The 15,290-nt window shown below is 33.4% G+C and overlaps 1 long non-coding RNA gene across 1 annotated transcript in view; it reads right to left on the reverse strand.

Annotated features, from left to right (window-relative positions):
• Positions 1 to 15,290, reverse strand: part of LOC105375911 (uncharacterized) — a 268,808-nt gene that overhangs the window by 23,653 nt on the left and 229,865 nt on the right. Inside the window, exon 3 of the long non-coding RNA XR_007060972.1 lies at positions 10,032 to 10,124. This is a non-coding gene — a long non-coding RNA (uncharacterized LOC105375911). The remainder of the gene's footprint in view (positions 1 to 10,031; positions 10,125 to 15,290) is intronic.

The following is a 15,290-nucleotide window of genomic DNA, read 5'->3' on the forward strand; positions in this document are numbered from 1 at the left end:
AGATCCTGAGTCAAATGGGAAAAACCATGCAACATGATGACTAGAATGAACATGGTATCCTCAGAGTGTTATAAAAACCCAGAGAACAGGTACGTACTTCTTAATTCCATGGGGGTTAAGGCGTGTGTGGAGGCAGCAGGCTCAGGGAAGGCCTCCAAGAGGACATAACACTTGAGCTATTGCTACTGCAATCAGTTGCACCATCATCTATCAAAATGTTTAAGTTGGAAGCCAAGAATTCAGCCACTTCAACTCATTCTCCCAAACATTTCCCTCAACAAGTTCTGTTGATGCTGTCCTTTGCCTCCTTAAAACCACTTGAAAATTTGCAGTTTTCTCCATCCTTGTGCCCTATCTTATTTACACTTCTAAAAAAAAAAGAGAGAGAGAGAGAAAGAAAACTATTTCTGGTGTATATATTTGTGTAGGAAGATAGTTTTTGGAGATTGCATTTATAAAACACAATAAACTTTCTCCCTTTGTTGACATGAAAAAAAAATACACTTCTATCTTTCTCTAGAATACAGGCAGTCCTTGACTTATACTTCTGCTTATGACTTTTTGACTTTATGATGGTACAAAAGAAATAAAGTTTTTATCCATTCATCATTGATGAACACTTAATGTTGATTTCATATCTTGGCTATTGTGAATAATGTTACAATGAACATGAGAGTGCAATTATCTCTTCAAGATACATTTCAATTCTTTTAGATTTATAACCAGAAGATTGCTAGATCATATGGTATTCCTATTTTTAACTTTTGAGGAACCTCCACACTATTTTTTATAATAGCTATAACAATTTACATGTCCCAAAACAGTGTGCACATGTTCCCTTTTCTCTACATCCTCATCAACACTTGTTTTCTTTTGACTTTTTGATAATAGGCATTCTAACAAGTATCAGGTGATACCTTATTGTGGTTTTTATTCATATTTATCTGGTCATTAGTAATGTTGATAATTTTTTCATATAATTGTTGGACATTCATGTGTCTTCTTTTGAGGAATGTTTATTTATTTCCTTTGTCCATTTTTTAAATTGGATTCTCTGCTTTCTTGCTATTGTTTGAATTCCATATATTGTTTGATATTAACCCCTTGCCAGGTGTATGATTTGCAAGTATTTTCTTCCATTTCATAGGTTGTGTCTTCTTTTGCTGTGCAGAAGCTTCTTTGTTTGGCACAATTCTATATGTCTATTTTTTCATTTGTTTTTGCTTGTGCATTTGGGATCACACCCAACAAATCATTGCCCAGACCAATGTCGACACTTTTTTTCTATGTTTTATCTAGTAATTTTAGTGTTTAGGTCTTACGTTTAGTTAATCTATTGTGAATTGATTTTTGTACATTATTATGGGTTGAATTTTGTGTCATGAAAAGAGATGTTGGAGTCCTAATCCCAAGTTTGTCCTCAAATTTGACTGTATTTAGAGATAGGGTCTTTAGAGAGGGATGATGATAAAATGAAGTAATTGGGGTGTGCTATATTCTGATATGACTAGTGTCCTTATAAAAGGAAAAAAACATGGATGCTGGGATAGACATGCACACAGGGAGAATGCTGAGTGAAGATTAGAGTTCTGCTGCCACAAACCAAAGAACTATCAGAAACTAGGAGAAAAGCCTAAAAGCAGATCCTTTCCTAGCACCTTCAGAGGAAGCGTGACGCTGCTGCAAACTTCATTGCAGACTTCCAGCCCCCTGAGCAATTAGATAATAAATGTCTGTTGTTTAAGCCACACACTTTGTGGTACTTTGTTATGGCAGCCTTGTCAAACTAATCATACCTGATGTGAGATACAGATTTAATTTTATCTTCTGCATATAGATATCCAGTTTTCCCAGCCTAATTTTGAAAGAGATTGTCCTTTCTTCATTATGTGTTTCTAGCATTTTTACTGAATATCAATTGATCATAAATGTGTGAATTTATTTCTGGGCATTCTATTCTGTTCCACTGGTCTATGTGGCTGTTTCTATGCCATTATCAGGCTGTTTTAACTACTATAGGTTTATAGTATCTTTTGATATCAGTTAGTGTACTACAACCAGCTTTGTTCTTTTGCTCAAGACAGCTTTGGCTATTTGGAGTCTTTTATGTTTCCATATGAATTTTAGAGTCTTTATTGTATTTCTATGAAAAATAACATTATAATTTTGATAGGGATTACACTGAATCCATAAATCACTTCAGGTAGTATGGACATGTTAATAACATTATTTCTTCCAATCAATGAACGTGGAATACCTTTATGTTAGTGTTTTTCCAATTCCTTTCATCAATGTTTTATGGTTTTTAGTGTACAGATCTTTCCCCTTCTTCCTTAAATTTATTCCTAAGTATATTATTCCTTCTGATGTTATCGTAAATGGTATTATTTTCTTAACTTCTTCTTTGTATAGTTTGTTGTTAGTGTGTTGAAACTCTACCGATTTTTGAATGCTGCTTTTGTACTCTGGAACTTCACTGCATTGATTAATTAGTTCAAACAGTTTGTTGGTAGGGTTTTAGGCTTTCCTCCTTATGATATCTGCAAACAGAAACAATTTTACCTTTCAGTTTGAATGTATTTTATTTATTTTTCTTGACTAATTTTCTGACTGGAACCTACAATACTATATTGAATAGAAAAGTTAAGAATGAGCACCCTTGTCGTCTTCTCTTCTTCCTGATCTTAGAAAAAAAGTTTCAACTTTTTACCATTGAGTATGATGTGATCTGTGAGCTTGTCATATATGGTCTTTATTATGTTGAGGCATGTGGTTATATTTATGTTCTATACATTATTAAGTATTTTTATAATGAAATCATGTTGAATTTTTCAAATTTTCTTATGCATCTATTGAGATGATCATATAATTTTTATTTTTCTGTTAATGTGGTATATCACATTTATTGACTTGCATATGTTAAACTATCCTTGCATTTCAGGCATCAGTCTCACTTGACCATGATGGCTGATCTTTTAAATCTGCTGTTGAATTTGGTTTCCTGGTATTTTCTTGCAGACTTTTGGATCTATGTTTATCAAAGATATCGGACTGTCAGTTTTGTTTCTCACAGTATTCTTGTCTGGTTTTGGTATTAGGGTAATGGTGGCCTCATAAAATTGAGTTTGAAAGTATTCTCTGCTCTTCAATTTTTTTGAAAAAGTTTGGCAAGCATCAGCATTAATTCTCCTTTAATTGTTTGGAAGAATTCTCCTGTGAATTCTTCAGGTCCTGAGCATTTTTTTGTTGGGTGGTTTTTGACTCCTAATTAAATCTCCTTATTGGTTATTAGTCTGGTCATACTTCTCTTTCTTTATAATTCAGTCTTGTCAACTTTACCTTTTCACAAAGCCAACTCTTAGTATTATTGATCTTTTCTAGTCCTTATTTATTTCTGTTCTAATCTAGTCCTTATTTATTTCTGTTCTAATCTTTATTATTTCCTTTCTTCGTCTATCTTTGTGCTTAGTTTGTTCTGCTTATTTTATTTTTCTGAGGTGTCAAGTTAGCTGTAAAGAAAGATTTGAGGTTGGGCATAGTGGCTCACACCTGTAAATCCAGCACTTTGAGAGGCCAAGACAGAAAGATTCTTTGAGGCCAGGAGTGCGAGACTAGCCTGGGCAACCCAATTTCTACAAAAAATAAAATAAAATAGTAGGTATGGTGTTCCATGCCTGTAGTCCTACCTACTTGGGAGACTAAGCTGGGAAGATCATCTGAGCCCAAGGATTCAAGGTTATAGTTAGCTATCATTGCACCACTGCACTCCAGCCTGGGCAACAAAGTGAGATCCTGTCTCTAAAAACAAAAACAAAAACAAATTAATGTAAACAACTACCACTATAAGTTTTCCTCTTAGAACTACTTTTGCTGCATTTCATAAGTTTTGGCAGTTTGTCTCAATATATGTTTTATTTCCCTTTTGATTTCTTCTCTGACTCATTGGCTGTTTGAGAATGTGTTGTTTAATTTCCACATATTTGTGAATTTTCTAATTTTCCACCTTTATCAATTTCTAGATCCATACCATCATGATCAGAAAAGATACTTGATATGATTTTAATTTTCTTGAATTTATTAAGAGTTTTTTTGTGGCTTAACATATCATGTATTCTAGAGAATGTTCTGTGACAGCTTCAAATATATATATATTCTATATATATGTTCTATATATGTCTATTAGGTCCATTTGGTCTCTACTGTCATTCAAGTCTGATATTTTCTGATTGATTATTTTTCCCTGGATGATCGATATATTGTCGAAAGTGGGGTATTAAAGTTCCCTATGGTTATTGTATTGCTACCTCTTTCAACCTTCAGTTCTGGCAATATTTGCTTTATGCATTTAGGTGCTCTGATATTGGGTACATATATATTTACAACTGTTATAGCCTTTTGATGAATTGATCCCTTTATCATTATTAATGACCTTGTCTCTTGTGATAGTTTTTGACTTAAACTCTATTTCGTATGATATAAATCCAGCCTGCCCATTCTCTTTTGATTACCATTTAATTGAATATCTTTTCTAGTGCCTTCACATTCAACCTATGTGTGCCTTTAAACCTAAAGTGAGTCTCTTGTAGGTGGCATATAGTTGGATCTCATTTTTTTAATCCGTTCAACCACTCTATGTCATTTGAATAATCCATTTACATTTTAAGTAATTATTGATGGATAAGGATGTACTGCCATTTATTCATTATTTTCCAACTATTTTGTAGTTTCTTTTTCTCTTGCTATCTTCTTTTGTGATTTGATAATTTTTATAAAAGTATTCTTTTATTCCTTTTCCCTTAAATTTTGTGTATCTACTACAAGTCTTTTTTGTGGTTATAATGGGGCTTAAGCAAAACATCTTGTAGCTATAAAAGTCTGTCTGTTTTAAGCTGATACCAACTTAATGTCAACCATATTTTAAAACTTTGGAAACTTTAACTTTTCCTCTCCCAATATTTTATTCTATTGGCATTACAATTTACATCTTTTTATACTGTGTTACCATTAACAAATTACTGTAGCTATAGTTATTTTTAATTGTTTTGTCTTAACATTTGTTTTCATAGAACAATCTAATTTTCAACTTTATGTTAAAAACAGAAATTTTGATTTAACTAAGAGCTATATTATTAGTATAAGCTCTAGAATAGCCAAACCTTACAGAGTTCACTTTTATTTATTTCAAAGTCTGTGTCTTGTTCACTCTTACCTTCACTCCTCAACAGTAGGAACTTGACAAGTTAATTCTATAGACTAAATATTCAAAGACAACAGTTAAATGTAAATTAAAAAAAACTAAATTGCACAACTTGAGATTCTTTCTGTGTAAATACAGCATGAAAAAATAAGTTTGGGATCCAATTTATTTTTCTCCAAATAAATTTCACTGGGTTTTATGTCTTTATTCCTGATGGTTTGTATCATTTTAGAGTGAACATTAAAAAAAAAAACAACTAGTGGGCACAGTATTATTCATAGAGAAATTTGAAAGAAAAAAAATCTGAGGATTAATGTCTGCAATATTCACTTTCGACAGCCTGTGTTCAAGCTTGGGTTGTCTGGTCAACATTTGGGTCTGATTCGTAGTTTCCAAATCATGGTGCATAGTGTTCTAAGTCAATTCCCTAGGAGAGATTTAAGGATAACTTTTCCACAGATTTTCTCAATTAAAGATGCATCTAGCTCTTTGCCCACATCACCCACATCTGCTCATAAAAAAAAATGAATAATGGAATACACATGTGCTGACTTATTATTCATTTCAGCCTTTTGCAGGTGCAAATGCAAGTTTTAAGGTGCAAAGTGGAGCCACAAACATTGTGGGCTTGTCCAGCTGAAATTCTAGGCTTTAATCACAACTAAGTAACTCCTAAGGTGATGTGATCATAGGATATTTTACTCACAAAAAGGGTGTAATAAATATTACAGATTGAACTGGTGTAGATTAACAGATGAGGCTACATTATTTAGAGAAAATGAAATGCAGATAATTTTCACCATATTTGGTATTTGATAAAGAATTATTTTTATATGTTAACCTAAAATTTACCTTAGTATGTTTCATAAAAACTTTTACCAAATAAAACAGGAAATAAAATACTTTTATATGTATACATAACTGAGTCAGGGATTTATATTGACAATTAACTTGAATCTACCATCATTACTTCATCTCTTTGCAGCTGGAGTAGACTTCTAGCAGACAAACTAAGTCAACATTTGGTTACAAGAAGGAATAGAGGGGCTCATTGGTGCAGATAATCCTAAACAGCAGAAAATCCCAAAATCATTTATTTTCAGCTTGGATATGTATTTAAAGTATTCTCTTTTTTTCCCCCAACAGATACTCACTTGTAATTTCATTTTCCGAAGATTCTTTCATAATATGTCTTACTAATGATTAAATTGCCAAAGAACTTTCATTAGCCAGCACATAGAAGAGTATGCAAGAATGTGTCCCTTGCCAGTTAAGAAGATATAGGTGACATGGCTGTTGGAAGATCAAGAACAGAGCTTTTTTTTCTGAGGAAACAACTATATCCAGAACCACCTCTTGTGACCAGATTTCCATGAAGTTTATTAGACATGGTATGCTCTGCAACTTCCAATGCCCAGCTATATTTCAATCGGTATTTTGCTTGAGAAGAGAAAATGCCTTTCTTCCTACTCTGATGAAAAAAAAAGAAAAAAGAAAAAAAGAAATATAGCTGTCTGGTTTCTTTATGAATTAGAGAAACCCAGTTTTCATAGAATGACACACACCACACACCATACCACACCAACACAACACAACACACACTCACTTGCTTTTATTTCACATTGTAAATATAACATAGTATCATAATTATGGAAATATTTTATTTTCCAAGCAACAGATGTGATTATATCATTATCCAATAAAATATAATAGAAAAGATATTGTCCAGGGACACTTATTTTTAAAAAATTATAGGCCGGGCGCGGTGGCTCACGCCTGTAATCCCAGCACTTTGGGAGGCCGAGGCGGGTGGATCATGAGGTCAGGAGATCGAGACCATCCTGGCTAACAAGGTGAAACCCCGTCTCTACTAAAAATACAAAAAAATTAGCCGGGCGCGGTGGCGGGCGCCTGTAGTCCCAGCTACTCGGGAGGCTGAGGCAGGAGAATGGCGTGAACCCGGGAAGCGGAGCTTGCAGTGAGCCGAGATTGCGCCACTGCAGTCCGCAGTCCGGCCTGGGCGACAGAGCGAGACTCCGTCTCAAAAAAAAAAAAAAAAAAAAAAAAATTATAGTGATAGTGGAAGAGAGTTCAAAAGTCAATGAAAGAGAGAAAGGACATTTCCCTCTTGACTTCATACTTAAATATATTAATCTTATTTCATCAAACCCAAGGCAGAGAAAACTGAAAACTTAGCTCTGCTTTTACATTTTACTCATATTATAAAACCTCTCAACACAGTCCTCCCTACTCTGCTTCTCCAAATCTAAATCCTGCCCATTTTTCAAAATACAGCTTAAATCCTGACTCTTGTAAAGCGTTCCCTGACTGTTTCATCTGGAAGCAATCTTTCCTTCTTTTAAACTTCCACAAGACTTATTTTCCACACCACTCATTTAGCACTTATTATTTACTGACTGGTAGAGATATAATGCTTTCAGAAATGTTGAAGCCATAATAGAGATTTTTATCCTTTTGTATTGTACACAAAGTTTTATTTTTAAAGTAAAATAAAACTATGTTTTTTACTTTTCTTTATGGATCTAAAATTTAGTTAGATTATCGACTACATCATCATAGCTAAATGGAAACATGTAATGCTTATTGTATGCCAGATATTCTTCTGAGGAACTTAGAAATATTAGCACTGTAACTACTTTATGAATATTAGATTAATAATGGAAGTTATATATATAGTAATAGTAGATGCATATGTAAATATGTATTTTTGTGTGCACTATATATATATATATACACATACACATATGCATATATGTGCATTTTTATATAAACTTACTTTGCTTACATAAATATCCTGGAGAATTGAAGTAAAACAATATTTATTCTGGTTTTTAATTAAAATACATCAATAAATTATTAATAATTATAGATTTATTATTTATTATAGATTTATTATTTGCTATAGATTCATTAAAATTATGCTATTTTTTCACTTTTGTAACAGATAATAATAAAGACTGCTAAATAATAAGAAACCCAAAATATCTTAACACTTTACATCTTTGAAGAAGATAAATTTAAGAAGAAAAAATAATTCATATACTTTGTGTCACACAAAATTAGACTTTATGTCTCTGAACTTAGGATACCCTCCTCTTTATCTAGCAAACATATGTTGACTTTACTTTTCTAAGGAAAAAAATGTAGACAAAAACGAAACTTAAACAAAAAATGCTCAAAAATAGTCTGGAAGTCCTAGATTTTAGTCTAGCATCAGACTTCAAACAGGTGTAAGTGGTTAACTTCTTTCTTCTTTGGTCTCTTCCGTGGTTTCTTCCTCTAGAGATGGGCACCAATTTGACTAATAATATTAAAGTATTACATCTTCAAATTTCAAAATCTATGTTATGATTTTGCCCACAATGGATGAAAACCTACTCAAGTGAATTTTAAGAACCATATCTATCATCAATTTTTTAAATCATGTAACTTAATTTTAATGAAATACAGGCAAAACTTTCCATTTCCAGAAGCTGATACAGATAAAAGTAATTATAATAAAATTACAGGACTCATATCTTATCTACATTAGCCTTCTATAGGTTTAGAAATTTCTTGAATCAGTGTCATTATTAGAAGTGTGCTGAAGACAATGGAAATGATTTAAAGCAGATGAGCAGAAAAAGGTCATTCAAAGTCCTGGTCTCTGTTCTGGGTGAATCCTTGGAAAATTTCCAAGGATTCTAGACTAACAGATACTCCGCCTTCTTTCCATGTGCCTTTTTAATGTCTAGTGTTAAATGCATTGCTTGCTCTGCAGTTCAGTCAAATGCAATCACACTTCTATCACTGTTAATTCATGAATTGTGTCTCCAACATCTCCTAAAAGAGGGCTTTGAATTTGAAATATATTTGTTAAAAACATGTAATGAAATGAATAGATGGCAAGAGCATAGCTCAGTGCCTGTACCAAAAGTCAGCGGGAAAAGTCCACTGCAAACAAGGCTTCAGACTTTTCTTTTAAACATTTCTTATTAAAATAACAGTGAACTTAAAAGAGGAATATCATTTTTATCTCTGTTTGTAAACTTTCTCTTTGTTGTGTTACTTTACTATCATCTGAAACTATAGATTATTTCCAATGAAACAAAAACTCAGAGTGAGAGTCTAGGCTATGTGAGCTCTCTAAGAATCAATCAATCACTCTCTCCTCTCTTTCTCTCTCTCTCTCTCTCTCTCTCTCCATCTGCCCATCTATCTAGGCATTTCTGGTTGTCTGGCAAGCTGGTTCCACTAATAATTGCTTTTTAAAGAGAAGACCAATAAGCCTCATGGATATGGTCATTTAAAGGCTAACCAATACAACCCCCCAAAAATAAATATTCAAGCTATTGAGGCGCAAAGCCCATCTTTTAGCCACCCAGGCACTGTACTCAATTAAGAAGGAATTTCCTTTAAAGAGAAAAGTTAGTTGAGGGACAAACCTCAACTATGACTCAACTTCGGGGGTTGGGAATCAGGTGGAGGTTTTAGTTCTCAGCCTACAAATCATAGTTCATATGTCTGCCTAGGTAGTTCATTGAGTAGAATAAAGTGTACCTTAAAATTGTAGGCAACTGTACCCTCTTGCCTAACCTCAAGTATCTGAAACATCATAAGGGAGAGAGAATATATAAATTGACAAACCCAATATTTAATAAGAAGCCAACAGCAAAGAACAATTCTGTTGTTTACAAGTTTTAGTAATGGATTATCTTTTTACTATGGTGATGCAAGAGCACAAAAGGGAAGGACAATGCCCATTTCATAAAGACAGAGAATATTACTTGAGTAAGCTCACCTGGGTCATTGAAGAAGCAGATAAAGGCCTTACCTTATGTAGGCTGGTTATAGGCAGTAGAGAGACACGGTGGATGGGAGGTAGAAGACAACAGGAATGTACACAAACATTATGAGATGGTCCCAGCTAGAAAGAACAGAGGAGAAGGTGTGTTATAAATTATTTTGGTGATCTTTGCACCAACCCAAAGGATTATGAAAACTGAAGAAACAATAAATGTAGCAATTTTTATATTACATAGATTGATGAAATCAAGTGCAGGTTATAAAAGCTGGGTAGCCAAACATAATTTACTTATCGTAAAAATGTCTTTTTGTTTTACATTTAGGAGGCCAAAAGGCCATCATACAGCATTTCAAGATTTTTTCTTAGTCAAAAGCCATCTTGTACTATTTTATGTACTAACATTTAAGGCCTTCAGATTGTTACTGACTTATTGTTAATTATTTTTAGAAGCACTTACCTTTTCTCACTAAAACTAGGTTACAAGCACCTTTGAAGAAAAAAGGAACACATGTAGTATCTATTTGATTCTCTCGCAATGTATAACAGAAACCTAGTACAGACGTTTGACATATTTAGGTTCATACATAGAGGGATATTCATTTGAACTCACACATTAACTATGTCTTGTCTACCAATGAAAAATACAAGACAACAGCTGAGATCGCTGCCATTAATATTAAGTAAGATTTATTATGGTGCCAAATTATATTCTAAATTTCTACTCTATAATAAATTAGAAAATGAGTGAGGTATCACCTCACAAAACTTTTGTTTCTATATTTTACTTATTTCCTTTTATGAGTGTCTTGTTATTAACCATCTGCTAATCCTGTGTCTTTCAAAGCCATTAAAACAGAAGTTCATGGTTATGATTAGATTAAACTATTTTTAAAGTATTTTTTATCAGCACCTTTTCCTTTCTGCAACACAGGACATAATTTAGTAGAAAGGATACTGGGGAGGTGACTAAATAATTTGAGAAAAAGGCTAGAGCAAGTGTATTGTGTATAGAAAAGTTGAATGGTAATAATCCATACCAGGGAGGGCATCCCCAAAAGTGGACCAACTCCCCCCACCCCAAACTTCCTTATTTGAAAGATTTTCTAATTCAGCTGCTTTTTGCTTATTGTATTTATTTTTGTTGCACTTTGGGAAGTAAACTGGAATTCAAAAAAGAATTATTTCCTGCCCTTTGGTGCCATCATGAGGCCAGAATAACAAAATACTAAGAAAAGTTGATCTCCAGGGGAACCCAAGGTTTTGATATTTTTCTTTAGGGGAACCCAAGTTTTTGATATTTTCTTTTTATTCCAGATGTAATTATCCAGAGAATGAGAGTTTATTTCAGCAATGTAATTACCTTCACCATAATTGAAACCCTACAAACTACAAACCATAGCTCATATGCCTACAAGGGTAATTCAGTGAGTGGATTAAAATGTACCTTAAAGTTGTAGGCAACTGTGAAATTCTAGTTTTGTCAATTTGGAATCAATAAAATATTTATGTTTTGATGTTACATAACCATATACTAAAGCTTTTAGAACCAAAGCTTTTTAAAGTATTTTAAATCAATCATAGCAATATTTTAGCTTTATATATTTATTTAATGTATTCACCCTGTGGTACTGTACAATAGCATATAAGACAGTATGATATATTATCTGAGATGCCTCAAAACACAAGGTTATGATATAATAAGAGAATATGCTATTTTGTAAATAAAAGCAATGACAATAGGAAGAATATTGCAAATCAATGCACTAGAAAGAATGGCTAATGAACATCCAAAGACTTTCTACCCAGACAAAATCAAAGTAGTAGAATAAATCAGATGATTTGGTATTTAAAATAGTACCACAAAATGAATCTGAAAATTACAAAAATATGTTTTATTAAAAGTTTCAAACTTGAGGCAGGCAGATCACAAGGTCAGGAGATCGAGACCATCCTAGCTAACATGGTGAAATCGTGTCTCTACTAAAAATACCAAAAATCGTGTCTCTACTAAAAATACCGGGCAGGAGGTGGCACCTGTGGTCCCAGCTACTCAGGAGGCTGAGGCAGGACAATCGCTTGAACCCAGGAGGCAGAGTTCCAGTGAGCCAGGATCGCACCACTGCACTCCAGCCTGGGCAACAGAGCGAGACTCCATCTCAAAAAAAAAAAAAAAGTTTCAACCAAATATATCTTGTTCTGCTTTCTCTGTTCTATCTGTATTATTATTCTGAGGCTCATACTACATGTATTCTCAGCTTTATTTTACAAGTATATCAATAGAGTTATAAGATGTTCATTAGACATCTACTTTTTCAGACTATATGATTTTTTTCTGAATTGTTCAAGTTTTCTCATATGATGAAAATGTGATACTTACATGATGCCTGATAATGCCTAAAGCTGAATTCTTCCCACTCACTCTCAAAATTCTGTTCACTTTTCTCTCATTTTGCCTTCGTGACGTTTAGAAATTGAAGAGCACTACAAATTCTATCCATACAATATGGGCTCTCTCTAAAAGATGGAAAGTTTCACTAGACATATGTCTTCGCTTCTCTCAGTTTTTCTTATTTAGTGGAAAAGCCACAGGCAGAGGAAAATATAAAACTGCTGAACTGGTTTGCATTTGCTTTTATTCTTACACTATTCTCTTCTCATTTTGTTTACCTAGCACCTCTATGGAATATAACCATATTTTCATAATTATCAAACAAATAAACACCATCATCAACTTTAGTTGTAGTAAAAGTAGCCTGAATTGCTTTCTTTTCCTTTTTTTTTTTTTTAGTCTCAGAGACAGGCCTTATATATGGAAATAGTAGTAATTTGTTCTCGTTTAACATCAGTCACGATCTCCTTTTGGGACTTGGTCTCCAGCATTCTTTCAGTAGAATCACAGTGCTAATCTCAGCTTGGCTTTGGGCATATGCTGCCCTCCTTTGGCCTCTGTAACACTGTTCAAGACAGATTATTAAAGCTAACATTTATCCCACGGATGAACAAAAGTCTCCCTCAGCTGTAATGGTATTAAAGTTTCCTATCACCAATGGGAGTTATCAAAAAAGAGATGGTTTCTGCCCTGATAAAATGTTCACAGACCTCCCACTCCCAGTCTGAGACTAGCACTTATCATGGAAGCTTGGGAACCATCGTCACTGGAGATGAAAGAGAGCTCTCTGGTCACCTATAACCTCCTTCTGGCAGGGCAAGACGATTCCTATGTTAGACGCTATATAATGTTCAAATATTTAAATTCCATCTTATCATAATTCTATTCATCTCACATACTGACATGGTCTCTTTCCATTCCAATGACATCATATCTTGCTTTTACTTCGTTGTATTAAGTTTCCTCAGAGAAATAGAACTATTAACATATATATACACTATTTGAATATATTTAAATATATTACATGTTAAGTAACATATATTTATATACTATTTGAATTCATATATGTATACATATTCATATATCTATCTATATATATATATGTTGCTTAACAACAATATTTTCTGAGAAATGCATTGTCAGGCAATTTCATTGTTGTGTGAACATCACAGAGTACACTTCCAAAAACCTAGATGGTTTTGCCTACTACACACCTAGACTATATGGCACAGCCTATTGCTCCAAGACTACAGATGTGTACAGCATGAATACTGTAGGTAATTGTAACACCATAGTATTTGTATGTCTAAACATATCTAAACTAAAAAGGTACAGTAAATATACAGCATAGAATATTTTTTCATTGTACACCTGTATAAGATGCTTGCCATGAAGAGAGATTGCAGGACTAGAAATTGCTATGAGTGAGTCAGTGAGTGGTGAGTGAATGAAGTGAAGGCTTAGGATATTACTATACACTGCTGTAGACTTTAAAAACACTATATCCTTAGGATATACTATATTTTAAAAAGTATTTTTTATTCATTAATAAATTAATCTATTATAGTTACTTTTTAAATTTATAAGCCTTTTAATATTTTAAGTTTTGACTCTTAAAATAACACTTAAATCACAAACATATTGGTATAGCTGTAAAAAAAGTTTTCCTTCTTTACATCCTTATTCTATAAGTTTTCGTCTATTTTTAAGTATTTTTATTTTACTTTTGAAACTTTTTGTTTAAAAACTACCACACAAATACCCACATCAGCCTAGGCCTACACAGAGTGAGAATAATCAATATCACTGTCTTCCACTTTCACATTTTGTCCCACTGGAACTCTTTGGGGGCAATAACACATAATATCTCTTATGATAATAATGCCTTCTTCTGGAATACCTCCTGAAGGACCTGCCTGAGGCTGTTTTACAAATAACTATTTTTAATAAGCAGAAGGATTATATACTAAAATAACAATTAAAAGTATGGTATAGTAATTGTCCATTCATGTCCTTAGCCCAATTTTTGATGGGATTGTTTGTTTTTTCTTCCTCATTTGAGTTCCTTGTAGATTCTAGATATTAGTCCTTTATCGGATGTATAGAGAGTCAAGATTTTCTCCCACTCTGTGGGCTGTCTGTTTACATTGCTGATTGTTGCTTTTGCTGTACAGAAGCTCTTTCATTTAATTAAGTCCCACCTATTTATCTTTTTTTTGTTGCAATTCCTTTTGGGTTCTTGGACATGAAGTCTTTGCCTAAGCCAATGTCTAGAAGGGTTTGTCCGATGTTATCTTCCAGAATTTTTATAGTTTCAGGTCTTATATTTTAAGTCCTTGACCCATTTTGAGTTGATTTTTGTATAAGGTGAGAGATGAGAATCCAGTTTCATTCTCCTACATGTGGCTTGCCAATTATACCAGCACCATTTGTTGAATAGGGTGTCCTTTCCCCACTTTATGTTTTGGTTTGCTTTGTTGAAGATCAGTTGGCTGTAATTATTTGGGTTTATTCCTGTGTTCTCTGTTCCATTGGTCTATGTGTCTATTTTTATACCAGTACCTTGCTGTTTTTGTGACTCTGGCCTTGTAGTATAGTTTGAAGTTGGGTAATGTGATGCCTCCAGATTTGTTCTTTTTGCTTGGTCTTGCTTTTGGCTATGCAGGCTCTTTTTTGGTTCCATATGAATTTTAGAATTGTTTTTTCTAGTTCTGTGAATGATGGTGGCATTTTGATGGAAATTGCATTGAATTTATAGGTTATTTTTGGCAGTATGGTCATTTTCACAATATTGATTCTACGCATCCATGAGCATGGGATGTGTTTCTATTTGTTTGTGTCATCTATGATTTCACTCAGCAGTGTTTTATAGTTTTCCTTTACAGGTCTTTCACCTC

Source organism: Homo sapiens, chromosome 8, assembly GCF_000001405.40.
Source record: "Homo sapiens chromosome 8, GRCh38.p14 Primary Assembly".
In the NCBI taxonomy this organism is placed as follows: Eukaryota; Metazoa; Chordata; class Mammalia; order Primates; family Hominidae; genus Homo; species Homo sapiens.